The sequence below is a fragment of the Homo sapiens genome, chromosome 3 (assembly GCF_000001405.40).
Source record: "Homo sapiens chromosome 3, GRCh38.p14 Primary Assembly".
In the NCBI taxonomy this organism is placed as follows: Eukaryota; Metazoa; Chordata; class Mammalia; order Primates; family Hominidae; genus Homo; species Homo sapiens.
Window position 1 is genome coordinate 123,705,575 of NC_000003.12, and position 19,515 is coordinate 123,725,089.

General features: G+C 48.5%; 1 protein-coding gene and 1 long non-coding RNA gene across 22 annotated transcripts in view; one reads left to right on the plus strand and one right to left on the minus strand.

The window, feature by feature from the left end:
* The window catches only part of LOC105369194 (uncharacterized), a 23,585-nt gene extending 12,759 nt beyond the window's left edge, over positions 1 to 10,826 (plus strand). For 3 of the 5 annotated variants that reach the window (XR_924417.4, XR_007096036.1, XR_007096037.1), the window contains one exon: positions 6,783 to 10,826. This is a non-coding gene — a long non-coding RNA (uncharacterized LOC105369194). Of the gene's footprint in view, positions 1 to 6,678 lie in introns of all 5 variants that reach the window. The other 2 variants (XR_001740871.3, XR_924418.4) reach the window with 2 other exon arrangements.
* MYLK (myosin light chain kinase) overlaps positions 1 to 19,515 on the minus strand; it is a 274,284-nt gene that overhangs the window by 95,526 nt on the left and 159,243 nt on the right. For all 17 annotated transcript variants that reach the window (XM_047448184.1, XM_024453532.2, NM_001321309.2 and 14 more), the window contains 4 exons: positions 16,554 to 16,706; positions 4,182 to 4,319; positions 3,124 to 3,321; positions 2,180 to 2,429 (listed from right to left, as the gene is read on the minus strand). In XM_047448184.1, the coding sequence (XP_047304140.1) occupies positions 2,180 to 2,429; positions 3,124 to 3,321; positions 4,182 to 4,319; positions 16,554 to 16,706 (739 nt within the window). The remainder of the gene's footprint in view (positions 1 to 2,179; positions 2,430 to 3,123; positions 3,322 to 4,181; positions 4,320 to 16,553; positions 16,707 to 19,515) is intronic.

The window sequence follows — 19,515 nt, forward strand, 5'->3', positions numbered from 1 at the left end:
GATGAGGCTGGATAACTTCTGAAGCCCCTTCCTGCTGGGACAGTCTAAATTTTATGACTGTCCCCAGCTGGCCCCAGACAGTCTGCCTGCCGACCTCCTGGTGCACGCCTCCTCTCTGGCCTGGCAAACTTCCCACAGCCCTTTGCTTGGCTCTGCCCCCACCCCACCCTTTCTTGCTCGGCCTACTCAACAGCTAAGCCTTATCACATTTGCCAAGATTCAGCCTTCCTTTTCCATCAAAATCCCCAAACAAGCTCATCTCCTCTAGGATGTCTGGCTTGAGTAATGTAAGTATTATCTCAAAGTGCTACTCCTTCTATACTGACGAGATCATCAGCAGGTATTTTTACACATCATCGGTTTCCATTCTTTGTACTGACCTAGGGGGTAAGCGTGTACCTTCTCCCCATTTTGGAGGCAGAGTGGCCTTCCTGGTAATAACTAGTTCAAGCATAATGCAAAGGCAGTTGATGCATTCTGAGTGTACCGCTAATAATAGTAGGGGGACCAGCAGCTCACAAGCATCCCATCACTTGACCACAACAGACATGTCATTGAGCTCAGCTGAGATTAGCCTTGCCTAAATCAGCAGAACTTTATAGGAGACCCAAAGACTCCTAAGAAATAATGAAACTGCTTTAAAAATAAACGAGCTATTTTTAATAGTTATTAAGTATTGGGGTGGTTCGTTATGCAGCAAAAGATAACTGATTCAGGTATAAAGCACATGGTCACAAAGGACCTAAGGGGATGGGGTACATATTGGGTTTTGCAGTAGCCTTGGCATTTAGCTCTAGAGCTTATTTGTAGCTCAGAGCTGTGAACATGATGGGCTCAGCATGGGGAGATGATAAAGTACAGGCGAGAAAGCCCCTTGCAAAGTGGTCAGGCACCCGGGCCAGGACAGGTCTAACCATCCTCAGGATGTGGCACGACCTCCTATTTGTAGGTTAGGTGCAAACAAATGCTCTTCTTCGATGCTTACACCAACCCCAGGACCCACAGAAGGCATTCTGTCTCCATCAATCCAGGGCTGGCATAGGATTTTAAGAGACAGGGCATTTTCAAGGTAAAAGAGCATTTCTGAATCACATTCATCTAATAAATAGCTACCCAATGTCGACTATGGGCTCTCCACTGTTCCAGGCCTGGAAATGTAGCAGTGTGCCTCATGGAAATGTAGCAGTGTGCCTCATGGAAATGTAGCAGTGTGCCTCATGGAAATGTAGCAGTGTGCCTCATGGAGCTGACCTTCCCATGTAACCTAGCAAGCCCTTGAAAAGGAGAGAAAAAAGTAATGGGGAAAGGTAGCCTCCCTGTGGTAGTTTTAAAATGTCTGCAAATTCTTCTCTCCAAGAGGTGGAACTGAATTTACCTCCCCTTGAGTACGGGCTGTACTTAGTGACTCACTTCTAACAAAGTCGGAAGTGATGGCGTGTGGCTTCCAAGGGTAGGTCTTAAAAGACACTGCAAGCTCTGACCTGGGCTCCCTCTTCGATCACTAGCTCTGGGGAAGCCAGCTGCCATGCTAAAAAAGACACTCAAGCAGCCCCACGGAGAGGTCCACAACGCAAGGAGCTGAGTCCTCCCACCAACAGCCAGTGAGGAGCCGAGGCCTCCCACCTACAACCAGTGAGGAGCTGAGGCCTCCTGCCACAGTCACGGGAGTGAGCCTTGGAAGCAGATCCTCCAGTGTCCGTCAGGCCTTCAGAAACTGCAGCCCCTGCTGACATCTTGACTGAAACTTCAAAATCATCCAGCTAAGCTGCTTCCAAATTCCCAGCTGGGAGATGATAAATGTTTCAAGCTGCTAAGTTTCAGGGTAATTTGTTACACAGCAACAGATAACAAATGCATTCCCCCTATCCCCCTGCTTTTCCAACTTTGATCCATTCCTCCTTCCTTCATACTCACCATACACCACATAATGGGGGAACAAGGATGTAACAAGACAGGATTCTGGGGAACTGAGCTCAAAAGGGAAAGTTCTAATGAACATTTGCTATACTGAAGTGGAAGAAGCAAAAGCTTGTGAGCAGCACTGAGCCCGCACTTGCTTTACCTGGAAGTCCAAGCCCCACATCAGTTTGTGCTTCTTCTGGCTGCCCAGACCCAGGTTAGGGGAGCTAGGAATTTGGAGGGAAGGGTTAAGGGAGGCTGGCTGGACATGCAGACTCACTTGAGCAGGATCTCATACTGGCCGGCATGCCAGGGCTGCACCTTCTTTAGAACCAGGGTGAACACGTCCTCATTCTGAAGCACCTCGAAGTGGCCAGTGTCTTTGCAGAGGGCTTTGCCATCTCTGAGCCAGTGCACGGTAGGAAAGGGGTCACCAGCTATGGCGCAGGAGATGAGGACACTCTGGCCCAGGGAGGCTGTCACTGAGCGAGGCTTACTGATGAACCAGGGCTGGGTGCCATCGTGAGGCTCTGGAAATTGGCAAAGGGCAGAGCTAAACAGGGATGTCCCTCAGCAGGCAGTGTCCACTCAATTCTCCATGGAGGTGAAGGATGGGAAGATAGCATGTCACCCAAGTAACAGATTGTCCAGAAATCACTGTGATTGGATACACAAATGCAGCACACCCTTCTCATTGCACATCCATCTCGGATACATTCTCAGAGGATAATATTAACATGACTGTATATCCAATGTAAGGGGAGGTAGCCCAGAAGGCACGGGGCACCGAGCCAGGTGCTAATGATCTGTATCCAATGCGTGTGATTAAGAGTTGTCACTCACTTTATGTGTGCTTAACTTGCCTCTCCTCTTAAATATGTTATCTAATGGCAAGGACCCTGTTAAGCCTATAACTCACCTCAAAATCTATCGCTGCCAAATTGTTAAGTGTATTACAGATTTCCCTCTTAGTACTCTATGCACCTTGGCACCAGTAACCCAGAGAGGGCAGGGACTTCAGAAAGCTGGGAAAGGCAGCCCCACTCAGTCAGAGCTTGTGATGTTGGACAGGGAGCTGGCCTCTGGGGCTGGGGTGGGACTGAGGGACGAGAGGGCCCTCAGTGGGAACAAAGTAGCCTCATGTGGTTTCCTTGCCTCCAAATCACTTTTGGAGGGGCTGCAGCAGCATCTCCTTCCCACTCGCTCTGAGTGGGTCAGCCTCACCTTGTACCGTGAGCACGGCCTGGGTGCGGACCTCTCCAGCGCTGTTCCAGGCCTCGCAGGTGTACGTGCCCGTGTCCTCCGGGAACACTTCCTGGATACAAAGGCTGTGCTGAGTTCCTCTCTGTTCAAAGTGGAAGTCCTCTGACTCTTGGATCTCATTCCCATTGTGCAGCCAGATGACTTCAGGGGGTGGATTCCCTGAACCAGGAGGAGGGGAAGGGGGATTGGTTAGGGAGGTCCTCCCCGGCCATGCAGCAACTCTGCGCTGAATGCAGTGATATTGGATGAAACACTCCAACAACTCTCTATGCTTTCACTTCCCCATCAGTAAAATAGGAATTCAAACAGGATCTACCTCATGGGTTTGTTGGGAGGACCTTAAAATTTGAATAGTGCAACTGAGAACATCTTCTGAGATTTGGGAAGTTCTCACATAATTTTTTTTTTTTTTTTTTTTTTTGAGACAGAGTCTTTGCTCTGTCGCCCAGGCTGCAGTGCAGTGGTGCGATCTCGGCTCACTGCAAGCTCCACCTCCCAGGTTCACGCCATTCTCCTGCCTCAGCCTCCCGAGTAGCTGGGACTACAGGCACCGGCCACCACACCCAGCTAATTTTTTGTATTTTTTAGTAGAGACAGGGTTTCACCGTGTTAGCCAGGATGGTCTCGATCTCCTGACCTTGTGATCTGCTGCCTCGGCCTCACAAAGTGCTGGGATTACAGGCGTGAGCCACCGTGCCCGGCCCATAATCTGGTTTTGTACCAGTCTTCAAAACCTTCCAGCTACACTGGCCACACTATATTTTCAAATTAATCTTTCACTGCTCTAGCTCTATGGCCATCTTCTTCCTCTGGACCATTTAATCATGAATCCAGAAAATCCTACCCAGAGAAGGCAGAAAAGAGAGGACAAGAGTCTCCATTTCTTTGGGTCCATCACCTGATGGTCCCATCTGATTTTCTGGTGGATCAAGGATCTGAGCGGGTCCTCGGAGAGCAATACCCATTGCAACCAAGACCATTTTCATGTTAATCCCCAAGAGAGAGCTGCAGAGACAGACCTGACACTTGGACAGTCATAGTGACCTGGCTTCCATCCATGACTTTGAGATCAGAGAGGCCCTGCAGGAAGATGGGTGCAGTGGGCTTGCTGGGAGCCACAGGCAGAAGGTACTCACTCTTCCTGCTACTCTTCTTTTCTGTGTGGTAGAAAACAGAACGTGGGGTGAACATTCATGCATTCATTCAACAAACACAGACTAAATGACCACTTGGTACATGACTGTGTTGATGCTCAGTTCCCACCAGAAACTGGCAGCTAACAGATAAAGAGTGTTTGGAGTTTCTAGAGATCATTAGGAACAAGATGCCTCCCATTTCTCTGCTTGGCAATGACGATGTTCTTGCCTGATAGCCAGGAATGAACAATGAGTTCTTATAAGTTTGTGAGTTTTAAAAAATATTTTATTTATTTTTCAGATAAATGATACACTCACATGGCACAAAATTCAAAAGGTACCAAAGAGTATGGCAAGTCTCCCTCCCACCCCATCCCCCAGCCACCAGTGATCTCTCCTCAGAGGCAACGAGTTTTCAGTTTCTTGTTCATCTTGCCAGAAATGATCTACGTGTGTAACATATAGAAGCAAACAGGCATTTATTTTCTTCTTAAAAAAGTAAATGAAAGCACGTTACACAAAATGCTTGGCATCCCTTTAACAATACATCTTGGTGTCTCTCATAAGACAGAACTGAAGAGCTTCTTTGTCATTTTCGATAATTATATGGTGCTCCATTCCCATCCTAGGAGGTTTTAAGCACCTCACAAAAGCCAAAGACACTACACTCATTAGAATGGCTAAAAATAAAAAGACATCACATCCCAGGAATTGGTCTTGACAAGGATGTGGAAAAACTTGCATCTCTCATACATGGCAGGTGGTACAGAACCTTCTGAAAACATTTTGGCAGTTTCTTAAAAAGTTAAACATATACTTCCCTTAGGATCTAGTCATGCTACTCCTGGGTATGTCCCTGAGAGAAACGCAAGCACATATCCATACAAAGTCTTGTACACAAACATTCAGAGCAGCTTCATTCACAATAGCTGCAAACTAGAAATGACCCAAATGTCCATTAACAGGTGAGTAAAACAAATTGTGATATATCCACACAATGGAATATTACTCAGCAACACAAAAGAATGAACTACTGAGGGTACCGCAACAGGGATGAATCTCACAATAATTATGTTGAATGAAAGACACCAAGCTGTAGTCCCAGCTACTTGGGAGGCTGAGGTGGGAGGATCACTTGAGCCTGGGAGGTTGAGGCTGCAGTAAGCCATGATCACACCACTGCACTCCAGCCTGGGAGACAGAGCAAGATTCTGTCTCAAAAAAAAAAAGGAAGATGCCAAAGAGAGAGTGCATGTTGGATGACTCCATTTATATAAAATTCTAGAAAATGCAAAGTCCAGTGACAGAAAGCAGGTCAGTAGTGGTGTGGGGCAGGGGACGGGGGGTTGGATTATAAAGGGGCATGAGGAAACATTTGGGGACAATGAGAATTTCACTTTTAAAAATCATGGCAAAGGTTTCATGTGTGTGCATATGTCAAAACTTATCAAACTGAACACCTTAAGTCTCCATAGTTTATTGTACATCAATAATACCTCAATAAAAACTGGGAGAAAAAATCAATTTCTCTGAGACAGGGAGTGTGTCGGCAAGTCAAGGAGGAGGGTGAGAGGCCTGGCGCCTCACTCACATTCAGTTTCTTGTGGAGGTGGGTGAACAGCCTTTCCTCATGCTTAGAATCCCTGCCTCACAGGAGCTGAAGGGGAGGGGACTGCAGAGTGGCTGGCCCTGCCATCCACGTCTCACAGGGAACAATCCTGGTGCAGGACAAGCCATGGCTGCCCAGCCTCTGGTCTCTCCCTTGGTTCTGTGAGCCAGGCAGCTTGACTTTCAGTAATGCCATTTTAGCAATTTTTGTTTTTGTTTTTGGCAGGTTCAACTGTTGAGAAAGGGAGGGTTAGGATATCTCTAACTTAAACCCTAAGTTTCTGGGGAAAGGGCCACAGGCATTTTGGGTTCTTCTCAACACAGGACCACAAATACTAGACCTTCTTCAGGAAGTGGAGCCATGGGGAGGTTTCCAGGGTATGTAATGTATCTGGGCAGGTGTCACCTCCAAAGTTGCCACCGAATTTTTATCCACTGCCACTGAAAATGAAAGCAGGCCTACTGTAGAACTCTCCTAGCCCAGCCTCTGGGAACCTGGATGGGGAGAGGCTGGGAAGGTCCAGGAGGCTGGAGGAAAACTTCCCCCAAAGCAGGTGCAGTTGAAGGGCATGGAGCCTGAGTGTGAGAGCAGGTAACCCCCCACGGTCCCCTTGGAAGATGGGGCTCTCAGGCCCCTGCTGCTCTCTGGTGCTGCTGACTCAGCACCGCAGCCTTCGATGGAGGGCCGCCAGGGGCCTTGGCAGAAGCTCTGGGAGTGGGCTTGGGGGCACAGGATTGGAAATGCATTGATCTATCTCGTTTCTCTCACTAGGCTGCAGCAGTCAGGAGAGCTGGCTGCCTCGGGAGAGTTGAGGAATTTCCTGTCTTGCACAGACTGAGAAGGCTCAAGGACAAAATGTTTTTGTCTTTCTATAGCATTCCCTGTTCCTGCCTCTCTGCAATCTCAGCGAGTCCCCAGCCTTACAGAGCTTCATGCAGATGGGCTCAAATTCCTAGATGCTACGGGAACGTCACCAACTCCAGCGCACTCCCCTTTAAGCCTGTGGCAGTCTCCTCTTCAACCCCACCTTCTCTGGGTTCTTCCCACAGCCCCTGTTTCCTGGGGGTTTGGCAAAGCCAAGTCACCCTGTGGGTCTCAGCCATTGGGGACTAAAAGCCTATCTGCCTCTCCCTCCCCTGGGAGCTCAGAAGTATGCATGAAAGGGTGGCCTGGGAGCTGCCTCCCACCTGGCAGCTCACTGGTTCCACCTGCAGCTGTGGAGGGGATCCTGGCCTCAGGCAAGTCTGCCTCCGTCTGAAGCCCCACTTCCTCATCGGTCTCTACGGGGAGTCGTGGTATCATCACAGGACTTTGGGTAGTTTTAAAGAGATAATAGGTAAAAATACTTTGTACAACCATTCATTATCAATGAGAACATTTGTACGAGCCTAGCATGAGAACTGACTCACATCTATCCACTTGGGCTCAATTACTCAATGGGTTTATCAGCAGTCAAAGAACCAATGGAGTCTGGGCTTCACCCAAGGATTATGGACTCATTTTTATAGGACCTGAGGCAAATACTATTAGGAATACAAATGCGTTGCTTAAAAATATCATGGGATATATCTCAAAGTAAATTGAGGACAAGCTTTCATTGCACCCCCTCCAGGAGATGAGTGAGTGAACTTGGGGGAAACCGGCCGATCGGCAGACATTTAGTTCGGTGTCACTCATTGCCCCCGGTCCTGTGTTTTGTTCCCCAAAGCCCTACAGCAAGAAAGAAGGGAAGATGGAAATGATTGGGAGTGAATGTTCAGAACGAGCCTGTTCTCAGACCGGCAAGGTGGGACCCAGTCCCAACTCACCATTCCACTGTACTGGTGTAGAGACCAGGAGAGACTTAACTAACGGGAAGTGACTTGGCTAACATCATGGGGCCAGTGTGGGCAGACCCAGAGCTCATGCCCAGGCCTTCTGATGACAAGGCCGGGATGTTACGTAGGCGTCCCTTCAAAGGGAACCAGTCTCCTCCAACGGTGCCCATGGTGACCGCTCCAGGACAAACACACTGTCAGCTGACCCACATCCTAGATCCTTGACAACTGAGAAAAACTAAAGCAGAACAGAGACAAGCCAGGTGAAAAGAGCAACACAATGTGTGTGTGTGTGTGTGTGTGTGTGTGTGTGTGTGTGTGTGTGTGTGTGTATTGCAATTCATTCCAAAGCCAAACAAATTATTCTGGCTCATCTCTGGCCTCTAGCCTCTATCAGTTTCTGCTCACTCTTCTGTGGACTTAAGTAAAATACGAAAGGACAGATGGAAACTGGCATTCTTAACTCGTGGCCCTGGCTGTGTGATCTGAAGCAACCTTCCCAAAGCAAGCCTCGGTGTTCTCTCCTCCAAACTTATGGCAACATAATACTGAGAAGTATGATGTCTGCATCATCAGTCTAATGCATGGTAATATTGCAGGGTTTTAGATGATTAGAAAGTAACATATAAAACAGCTAGAACAATACATGGCACACAAGCAGTATAAAAATCAATGTTTTCTGACTTTCCCAACCCAACTAACTCCTTTGGTTGTGGAAATTCAACCTGATAATAACTCCAATGAGAAAAACCCCCCAAACCAGAACTTTCATGTAACGATGATTCCTTATAAAGCCCAGCGCTCCAGGATTCCAAAAGATGTTCATAGCTAATTCAGTGTTACCCTCAACATCTCGGAAGTATTGGGCAGATTGTGTCTGTTTTACAGTGGAGGGAGCTGAGACTCAGAGAAAGAAGCTCGCCTGTCCTAAGGTCCTGGGGCTGCGATGCCCCATGAGGAGGGAGATGCTGCTGGTGGGGTCCTGGTCTGGGTGCTTTCCCTTGACTGTCCTGGGAGCAGAGGCAGGTCTCAATTCTGTGAGGAGCTTTCTGTCATCATCCATATTCATGTCCAGAGCTACCCATTACCCTGGGAGTCACTCCTCTCTGCTTGTCCTTGGCCTCCTTCTAGCATCATCCTGGTTTAAGGACCAGGGTCTGAGGCAAGAGGCCCCCAGTGACAAGGTTGTCTCAGAGAGCCCAAGACTTCTTCGTCTTGGGAGGACACCCACTGGCCATGGCACACAAATAGCAAGGGATGCTTTGCTGAGACCCAGTGACAGACTTGCCCAGCTCAAATGGGGCCAAACTAAATATACCCCGGGTTTCCCCACAGCTGTGCTTCCTGCTGCTCTGCTGAGACTGAGCCCAGAGAGGGCCTTCTTTCTGGAGTGCAGAAAGGGCTGAGTCTCCTTGCTTTCCTTGCCTAGGATTAAGGATCTAAAGTGCATTTATCTGTTGCTCTGTTACTTGGTATTAGCCAATTCACTCCTGGACTCAGTCATTAAACTGCCACTGTCCCATTTTGACAGAATGGAAAAGGATTGATCGGGCTGTCGTCCAATGGGAAAGACAAGCACAATGACTAAGAATAAGCCCAAGCAGATTGCTGACAAGTAAAAACGATGCCATGTAGACGAAGCTGTTAATAGGACTTAAGAAAGAGCAAGAATGGAGAAAGGGAAGAACAGAGAGAAGAGAAAGAAAAAGAGGCAATGTGAGGAAGAGAGAGGGGGAAAAGGGAAGCAAAGGAAGGGGGAGAGAATGAGAGACAGACAGATATACGCACTCTCCCCTTTATGATTCTACTGACCCATGGAGTTTTTCCGTCCTTGCCATTTTGGCTGTTTTTGACTCACTAGAAGTTGTTTTTGAAGCCAGTTCCTAGTCATGAAACTAAACATGAAATGATCGCTCTGGTGAAGCAAAAGCATCAAACAAATGACCTATCAGGATCCAAGAGCAGCCATGCAGAAAGCCCATGGGCTGAAGCAGGTGGTGGCCTGGTGCTGCTGCTGATCACCTGGACTACTGTGGGCAGCTGACATCACCTCCTGAGCATCACTTTCTTCATCTGTAAAGTGAATTCGGAAGTGTCAAGTGGAGTTGTTGTGAGAATTAAATAAAACAAGCCAGCTTTTCTAGCCAATTAGACTTTCCTATCAAACAATTCCTTCTTAAAAACAAATTGATAGTGGTTTTACTTTAAAAACCTAATATAAATTGATACCCAACATGGCGTTTTGGAAAGCTTTTATTTAGAGGAAGAGTTAGGAGCAGTTTGCTACCTCTTGCACTAATTCTTCTTATAAAATAACCAGTAAAGCCTCTTCTTCAAACCCAGCACCAGGAGTGAGGCCTTTACCTCCTCTAGGACCTGACACTAGGAACCCACTGTTGCCTTTGTCCTGGTGGCTGACCAGGATCTGCCATCTCCTTCTGCACTACAATAATTCTCCTGTCTTCCCTTCACAGCCCTTCCTTTTCTTTCCGTTGTTTTAGTAGGAAAAACAACTAAATTCTGAATTTCTCCTTATAAGTGTGTTTTTCTACCTGCCAACATTTGCTGGTCAACTTGCTACTTTCTGAAGCCCCAAGGTCCTGGATCCAAATTTGCATTCAACACATGTTTGCCTTAATCTTGGATCTACCAAATATTTTCCTTAGGCTTTGAACATGAGCTGTATTCCTTAGTTATTACAATGCAAAATGCCATTCCAACAGCAATTCTGATTCACTCCAAACCCTGTTATACTATGGAAATTCAACAGATCACCAATTGAGGGGGCACCATGGAAGCACAGTGCCCCCATCTTTCTTTATTTGGAGTTCAAAATCCAGCATGGTCCAGGGATCACCACCAGCCTCCTCCTTTCCCTAAATTCCAGGATTGTTAACTCTGGAGGATTCATCAAAGAAGAGTTACATTCTCCCTGCTGACACGCCACACAGCCCCTTCCCATTTCCAGGGGGTTTGTGCAAGCTGTAAATCCCCGGGGCATCTGAATTCCCCTTAAACAAAAGTCTGTCTCCTAACCAAACAGAACCTTCTTGAAGTCAGCAAAATGGCTACTTTGTGGCATTAAAAGGATTTTTCCTCCCATAGCCTTGTTTTCTTTTGGCCTCCCTTCCTCCCAGAACTTAAGAAGCAAATGGGAAGAGAAGTGTGCGAGGAAAAGAATGAAAGGAACAATGACGTATAATATCCCAAAAAAGATCTCTGACCAGTAATGATAGGGTTGCTAGCTGGGAAGCAAGGATCACTGAAACCACAGCCTTTCCACTGTCTTAGAAGCTATAATCACACTCTAAACATAAAGGTATGGCATCCAAACCACCCACTGTTCCCTCCCAGTGCGGGCCTGGAAGCCACACTCTCAGTTACACTGTCATCACATGGGTCACATTTTGCCACTAGGAGCTCAATCCTGCGATTCTGGATAGCATTCTTGATCTGGGTCTCTATGTAATTATGACTGACTATGGGCTGTAGAGGTGGAGAGTTATAAAGCTCTATAATGGCCCTATTAGTAAAATGAGGCTCAAATTCTATGGCATGGGCACAAACGTACATGTATATGCTCAGAAGTCTTTCTGTAACACAAAGAACCCATGTGGTACACAAACCCAATTCTGTACTCAACCTACATAAAATGAAAATATTGGTTATAAATTTTAACATGTAATTAATTGCTTGCCTTCTTACAGTTTAAAGGCTTGTGGACAGATGTTTTGAATAAACTAAGCTTCTTAATATATATAAAAAAGGCAAGTTAAAACTGGTATTTATTCTTCTTCAATATATTTTTCTGTAGCCAATGTAAGTATTTAAGAAGTTGTCAGTGTTTTTAAGCTTGAGGAGGTCAGGATCCATACGTTATGTTAACTGGATAGATTGTATAGTGTCCAAAGTACCTGTGCATAACCAGGGAAGACAAAGGAGGTGGCTCCAGGCTGCCCCGCAGAGTGCCTGGTATTAATCTGAAAACAAACTGTGCCTCTACTCATTGCCAAGCAAACGCTGACTTCACTGATGCCTGTTGTCTTCATTAGAAGCTCTGCATCAAAACAAATACTCTAATAAATATGCTTGTTATATTTTATTATCTATTCTAGAGATGATCTTTTCATCTTTTTAACCTACCCACATTTTATGTCCTTAGATGCCTTAAACAGGCCCACTAGGCCTTCAGTTAAATAAACAAACCGTTAGGCTGAGAAACTATGTCAAATGGGCACAACTGGCAGGCTATTAATAAATCTAGACACTTAAGAATTTTAGCCTTGATGGAGATACTCCAGGGGGAAAAAATTTTAAATATTCTAGCCCAAGGAAGCCCCCAGCAATGACTCAGTCCAAACGCTGTGAAATATATACTGTATTTCAGATATTCCTGGGCTCTGCAGGAATTTGAATTAATCATCCTGGATCAGGACTCATCCTGGGTCAGGAGGAAAGACATTCATTGCTTGGTTAACTATTGGGGAATTTTTTTTCCCTAGCCTGTGTTGGGGAAAGAAGGAATATTTGTTGAGGGACTCTTTTTTTTTTTTTTTTTTTTTTTTTTTTTTTTTTGAGACAGGGTCTTGCTCTGTCATCCAGGCTGGAGTCCAGTGGTGTGATTACGGCTCACTGCAACTGCAGTCTCGACCTCGCAGGCTCAAGCAATCCTCCTGCCTCAGCCTCCTGAGTAGCTGGGACTAGAGGCATGGGCCACCACTCCCGGCTAATTTTTGTGTTTTTTGTGGAGACGGTGTGTTGCCGTGTTGCCCAAGGTGGTCTCGAACTCCTCGGCTCAAGAGATCCACCTGCCTTGGCCTCCCAAAGTGCTGGGATTACAGGCATGAGACACTGTGCCTAGCCCTGTTGAGGGACTCTTGAAGGTAATTTGCAGATTTCCTGCACACCCTAATGGGCACTGAGCCCCCAGAAAAGCGAGGAATTCTAGGGAATGCCTCCCTGCACTGCAGGGGAGGTTCGGCAACCTCTGTGCTCTCATCCATTCAGGGAATGCATGCTCCCATGGCAGGCCTGGCTCTACACACAGTATGACGTGATCCCTCCCTGCAGGGAGCTTACAGTGTGGAGAGGAAGATAATTAAGCAAGTAGAGTAAAATGAAAGTGAATTTTCACGGAGTAAATTGTTTTCTCCTCTCCTCCAGAGGCCTGGAATGGTGAGCCCCCGCATTCTGAACTCACTTTCTATCACACTGCCCCGTCTACTTTGCTGCAGCCACAGAGGCTGCTGTCTTGCTACTCCTCGAATGGGTCAACCTTGCTCCTGACTCAGGGCCTTGCACTTGCTGTGCTGCCCACCTAGAGCTCTCTTTCCCCAGGCCATGGACACCTCTGAGGCTTCCTCACAGCACTAAAGATACACCCTCTCACCCTCCTCGATTCACACACCCCACTCACTGGCTTTTTCTCTTTATAATTATTCCTTTGTGACCTGCTCATGTTCTTAACAGCACGTGCCAGCATTTGAAATGAGGCCAGGTGCTGACTGCTGCTGGCATCCTCATCAGAACGTAAGCACCCTGCAGGCAGGGCCCTCAGCTGTCCTGTCTACTGCAGTTTCCCCAGAACAATGCCTGGCACTGATCAATATAGGCGCGCAGTAAAGACTTGTTGATAAGTAAGTGTAATACTAGAAGCACACGGTGTTCAGGGAACGCATTCTGGGGTGATTAGGGTAGGCTTCCCAGAGAAAGTGACATTTGTGGGAGTTTCCAGGATTTGGAGAAGAAGAGAGTCACTGAGGAGGGAAGGCAGAGAAAGCATGAAGGGCTGGCTGCAGAAATCGCGTCTGAGGGCTGCACCAGCAATCTCGATGATTGCAAAATCTCGGCAAAAGGCGAGAGGTGAGAAAGAGCCCCTGCATCTGGCCTTTGGCACGGTATCTGCTGAGCTCTCAGAATAAGCTTGCTTGCAGCAGAGCTGCCCCTCAACCACCCCCGAGAGAAGACAACTGGAGGGACACGCGTTGCTGCATGGTGCCACCTTGTGGCCAGAGCCCTTGGAAGCAGGCACGAGTGTTCATGGCTTGTGTCTGGCTGGACACCTCCCTCCTCTGATTCTCTGATGGCCAAACAAACACACAATACTGTAGCAAAGTGGATCCTTTGGGAAAACCCCTCCTCAGTCTTGGCATTTGTAAGGATTGTATCTTGTTTAAAGGTGGGCTCTGCTGGACAATCATAATCACAGCACATACCTATGGAGGGTGTGTGCTATCCTATGCTCTGGGGATACTTTGCACATTCATTCACTTAATCCTCACAGTACCGCGACTGTCAGCATCTCCATTTCACACAAGAGGAAGCTGAGGTCTGGAATGCTAAAACGCCAGGGTGCAGGGCTAGTAAGTGGCAGAGCAGGACTCACACCCAGGCCGCTGGCTCCACATCCATGCTCCCCACCGTGGCCTGGTGCCACACTAAGGGCAAGAGAGGGCTGGACCTGGACAGCTAAGGGAGGGGTGAAGCAGCCATCAGTGCAGTAGGGAACAAACACCTCCACTGTGATCATCTCCCCCAGCCCAGGCTTGTCCCGAGGATCCAGAGCCAACGGGGCTGCCAATCAAGTCAGAAAAACTCCACAGCAGAGGACAGCGCAGGGAGCAGCCCCGAGCCTCCTGAGTGTCTCAGGGCACCGTGCCAGGGGGTGTCGCTGTGCCAGGCTCACCCTGCTCCAATCCTATGCCAAGAGCCCAAATGCTGCCGGGCCTGAGCGTGCGGCTGCGTCTTCAGCCTTGTTCACCATTTATGGTATCTGAGCCTGTCTGGTCTTTATAGCCCAGTACATCCCCCACACTGGGAGGGGGTTCTGTCATGCAGGCCTCTTCTCCGAGCAAATCCAAACTTCCTTGGCAGAGTTTTTGCCTGGGACCTCTCTGTGCTTTTTGTTTTCCTTTGGATGGGTGGTGATCCTTCAGGTCCCAGCCCCCACAGGCCCGGGAGTCAGGAGGATGGCCCTAAAGAATTCTTGATCCTTTGCCTGGGACTCCCACCTCCAGGGGACTCTTAGCTCAGCTGGGTCACTCTAATCCAATCTAAACACAGGCAAGCCAGGACAGACATTGGATTAGTCCTTGGCTGTGGCTGTGGAGGGAGTATCAGAAAACAGAGGGCTGAGCCACGGCGGCTCTACGTGTAGCATTCTGACTCTTGCTGCCCCTTACTTGACTCTGGGGTTGGCCACGCTGGCCTCCAAGAAGAGCCCCCAGGTGAGTCCTGCTTCCTGGACCTCAGAGACAAGGTTCTCAGCAGTTCAGGTTTCCTCTGAAATCTCATTATCACAATTTCCTGAGCTCCCCACCTGGCTCCCAGGGAGTCATGAAGTTAGAACTATGAGGATAAATGAGTAAGTTTGTAAACCAGAATCTGGCTGCAAATTCCCAGAGGCCAGAGCTGGGCTCTGAACCCAGTGTGGTGGGTTTCCTGGAAGGAAGGGGTGGACCAGTTTCTCGTGCTCACTCCCGGCAGAGAGCTTCACAGAGCCAGCGTCAGTCACATTCTCCATCAGTGCCAGTTCCTTCATCCCTAAGGGACTGACACTGCCCAGCCCACAGTGGCCAGTCTTCCCCTTTGAGCCAGGGGATGTGTCCTCTGAAAAAGGTCAGGGCATAGGAATGAGCACAGACTTGAAAGTCACAGGCTGTGGGCTCCAGGGTGCAGCTTTGCAGACTAACGTGATGCGCTTAGGCAAGTTACATTCAATTCCCGAGACTTCCAGAGCCTTCTGTCTGAAATCAGGACAGCATCCTTGTCCCCTAGGCTACTGAGGTCTCAGTGAGAGAATACGGGTGAGGTGAAAGTATTTAACACAGTAAGCCACAAATGTTTCTTCCCCTTTCCTTTTCTGCGAAACTTCCTCCTGCAGCCTCCCAGACAGTGGCTACTCATACAACACGGAGATGTTCCTGACAGGCCTGAGCCCCGGGGAATGGAGAGATGTATCCTCCTGCTTGTCTGATGGGAGACCAGTCACGCTGCACTCAGTGCTAGCACCAGAGGACCCAGTCATGCACAGGAGCCGGGGGCATAGGCTCAGGGTGATGGTGGGATCAGGCTTACCTGAAAGCCCTGGACCCAAGAAGCACTTCCACGGGAACTGTCACCAGGCCTGCTGATACCACAGCCCAGACAGATCTGTCTTGAGTCTGAGGCTCCCTGCAGTTCCCGGGGACTAAGTGCTTGGCTGATGAATGGATGACCATGATAATCAGATTACTGGAGACCAGGCTGCTGATGTGTAAAAACAAGCCTGGGCCCGTGAGTAGAAGGGGGGCAGAAAGGGGACAACCTGTGACCCTCTGGAAGCCTCAGTGTGCACGCTGTGACCCAGGGTCCCCCAGCATGTAAGGGGTCACTGGGAGGCCACTGACTGTTCAGGGAATACGTGAGTGCTCTCCCAAGTCCTTTTGTAGTGTGCGAGGTTTTCTTCTGACCAGACCTGGAGCTTCTGGAGCTAAGGGAGCCCTATCTCTTTCCCCCATACCTTTCCATGGCCCCAGTGGAGTGAGGGGGTGAGGAAAAGGCCACCTCTGATGACACCCTTGTCGCTGTGAACTCCTGGAGGTCATCTCCCTCACTTCCTACCTGCAGGTGCAGCACTTTTTAAGGACCCTCTCCTCTGTCCCTAAGAGGTTGCAGCAGCCACTCCTCTGTCACGGCACCTGCCGCTGCCAGTGGTGTGGAGTAGTGCCATGTGCACCTCTGCTCCCTGGATTTGAGCTCATGATACCATTTTCTACAAATGTGCCCTTCCTCCAAAGCAGAAGTGCCTGCAGGAAAGGTGCTTCTACCCAGGTGCCCAGAGGCTCCTACCATGGACGGTGACCCAGGCGCTGCAGGACACCTGCCCCAAGGCATTCTCAGCTAGGCAGGTGTAGGTGCCATGGTCCTCCGGCAGGGCATCCTGGATGTGGAGCTCAGCCACGCCGGCCTCGCAGGTGGAGCGAGCGTACTGGATGGGCTGCCCTGTGGAGGAAGCACAGGAAGGCTCAGGCCAGGCAGCACTGGCAGTAGGGACGGGAGCCCTGTCCTCAGCAGGGCTGCTGCTGTCATGACGCTGAGACTTGTCATGCTTGCTCAGATCCACTGAGGGCTAATGATGTACCATGCACATCTCCAGCCAGCTGGACAGAGGCTTATGGGCTGGAGAAAGAGCCAGGGGCTAAGGAGATGAAGGAAAGGGAGTAATTGTGTGGTGGAGGAGGAAGACGGGGCCTAGAGGGATGGGGGAGGGAGAATCTGGAGGAATTAAAAATGCAGGAGGGAAAGGGACAGAGTTTTGGGCATTCTGTGTTAAACAGTCTCCAAATCCACATCCTCAACTTCACAGAATTCTGAGCCTGGAGAGACTTTTACACGGTCATCTGGCCCATAGCCCAGCCTCAGGCAAAACGGAGCTTTCCCAGGCTGAACATGGGGTGCCCAGCTCCACTTAGATGTCTCCAGAAACAACGATTCAATTTTCCACTGTAGATATTTATCAAAAAGCAATTCTGCATCCCCCACCCACTGTTGCAGTTAGGTGCGTTTCTTCTATGCAATTAGGTGTATTTTAGGGTTCACAGAAAAGATAAATATAGGGAACTAAAAATGACTCGGCTCCTTTTTTCCAGAGTCCCTTACATGTGACATGTTCCAGGTAACATAAAGTCCTGCATGGAGACAGGAGTGCATGCAATGAGCTTCAGTGGTTTCCTTAATGCTCTATGTTCCTGGGAGTTTATCATTCTGGGATGTGACTTTTCATTTCCAGGAAAAAAAAAATCTCATTACTGAAGAGTCTGTCCTCGGAGCAGGAATGTGTCCAGCTGCCATATAGGAAGCAACTGTCAGTTTCTTCCCTTGCCAGGCCCCAGGGTCCTGGTTTGCACTTCATAAAATTGGGGTCGGCCAGTGGGGAAGGGAGACAGTACAGAAAGAAGTCGTCTCCCTGCAATGCAGTGTTTTCTTCTGCACATAGCAACACTTCATGTCTCCATGACAGTTTGGCAAAGAGACCAGCAAGCACATCATAGGACTAGAGGGGAAGATTCCTCTCAACCTATTGCATTTCATAAAAGTGGGGCCGAGGGCTGGGAAAGGCAGGGGCCTGGATCCTGCCACTGAGAGAAGTGAGCACTGCTCTTTGTTTTTACTTTTTGTCACAATGGTACCCTCCAAACCTCTCTTCCTTGACAATACCAGTGTATTCCCTGACTGCCGCCAATGTGTCTCTTCTGTCCAAACATGTGCTGACAAGCCTTTTGAGAGCTCTCCTTTAACTGGAACGTAACTCACTGTGGCCCCACAAACATGGGATGGGATGGAGGCCCCAGAAAGGAGCTGTTGGCTCAGGGCACATCAGAATTGGGAGACATTAGGCTCTCCCAGCTCGGAGGCTGGGTTAAACTAAAGTTAGCAGCCAAGGAAACCCAACTTGAGCATGATCGCCCTCTAGTGGAATGGGTGTGGAAACGCTAAGAGTCGCTGAGAAAACACCGTCTTGAGTGATGTATAAACTAGGAGACAGCAAGCTATGGCTCCTGGGCAGAATGCTAATTGCAGCTTGTTTTTGTAGCGCCTGCAAGCTAAGAATAGTTTTTACATATTTTAAATGGCCGAAAAATATAAAGGTAATTAATATATCTCATGATATGTAAAAATTATGTGAAACTCACATTTCAGTATTCATAAAGTTTTACTGCAACATAGCCACACTCGTTCTTTCACTTATTGTCTATGGCTTATGTATTGTCTATTCTTTTACTTTTTGAGACAGGGTCTCACTCTTATTACCCAGGTTGGAGTGCAGTGGCTAAGTTTTGCTAAGCCTGGCTAAGTTTTGCTTTTTTTTTTTTTTTTTTTTTTTTTGTAGAGACAGGTTCACTGTGTTGGCCAGGCTGGTCTTGAACTCCTGAGCTCAGGCAATCCACCTGCCTTGGCCTCCCAGAGTGCTGGGATTACAGGAGTGGGCCACTGCGCCCAGCCTCCTATGGCTGCTTTTATACCACAACAGCAGAGTTGAGAGTTGTTAAAGAGGCTGTATGGCCTGAAAAGCTGAAAATAGCTACTACCTGGCCCTTTATAGAAAATGTTTGTTGATACTTAGTCTAGACTCCGTTATTAGTCCTTAACGCCCATATTGCATTCCAGCCACAAGGAGGCTGCCTCCTTGAAGTCAATCACTGGATCCAATAGGACTTCTGTCCTTTGCTAAGGGCTGGGAGGGAAGGCAGACCTCAATTCTCACTTACCTACCCAAGAACACTACATGTAGGAAGACTAGATGGCACTTCCTCTTACTCACTAAAGACAGCTTCTAGCAAAGCCTGAGCAAACTACACCAACAAGGAAGGTTCACAGGCAATACATCAATGACGCAGACACAAATGGGGACTATTTGGTGCATAAGTGTTGGGGACCACTGCTCGCTCGCTTGCTCGCTCTTTCATTTATTTATTTATTTATTTATTGGAGTTTTGCTCTTGTCACCCAGGCTGGAGTGCAATGGCGCAATCTCGGCTCACTGCAACCTCTGGCTTCTGGGTTCAAGCGATTCTCCTGCCTAGCCTCCGGAGTAGCTGGGATTACAGGCACCTGGCACCATGTTCGGCTAAGTTTTGTATTTTTAGTAGAGATGGGGGTCTCATCATGTTGGCCAGGCTGGTCTCGAACTCCTGACCTCAGGTGATCCACCCACCTCAGCCTCCCAAAGTGCGGATTACAGGCATGAGCCACCACACCTGGCCCACTGCTGTCTTAAGGAGTGTATTCTATTAGGTATGAGAGTGAGCTG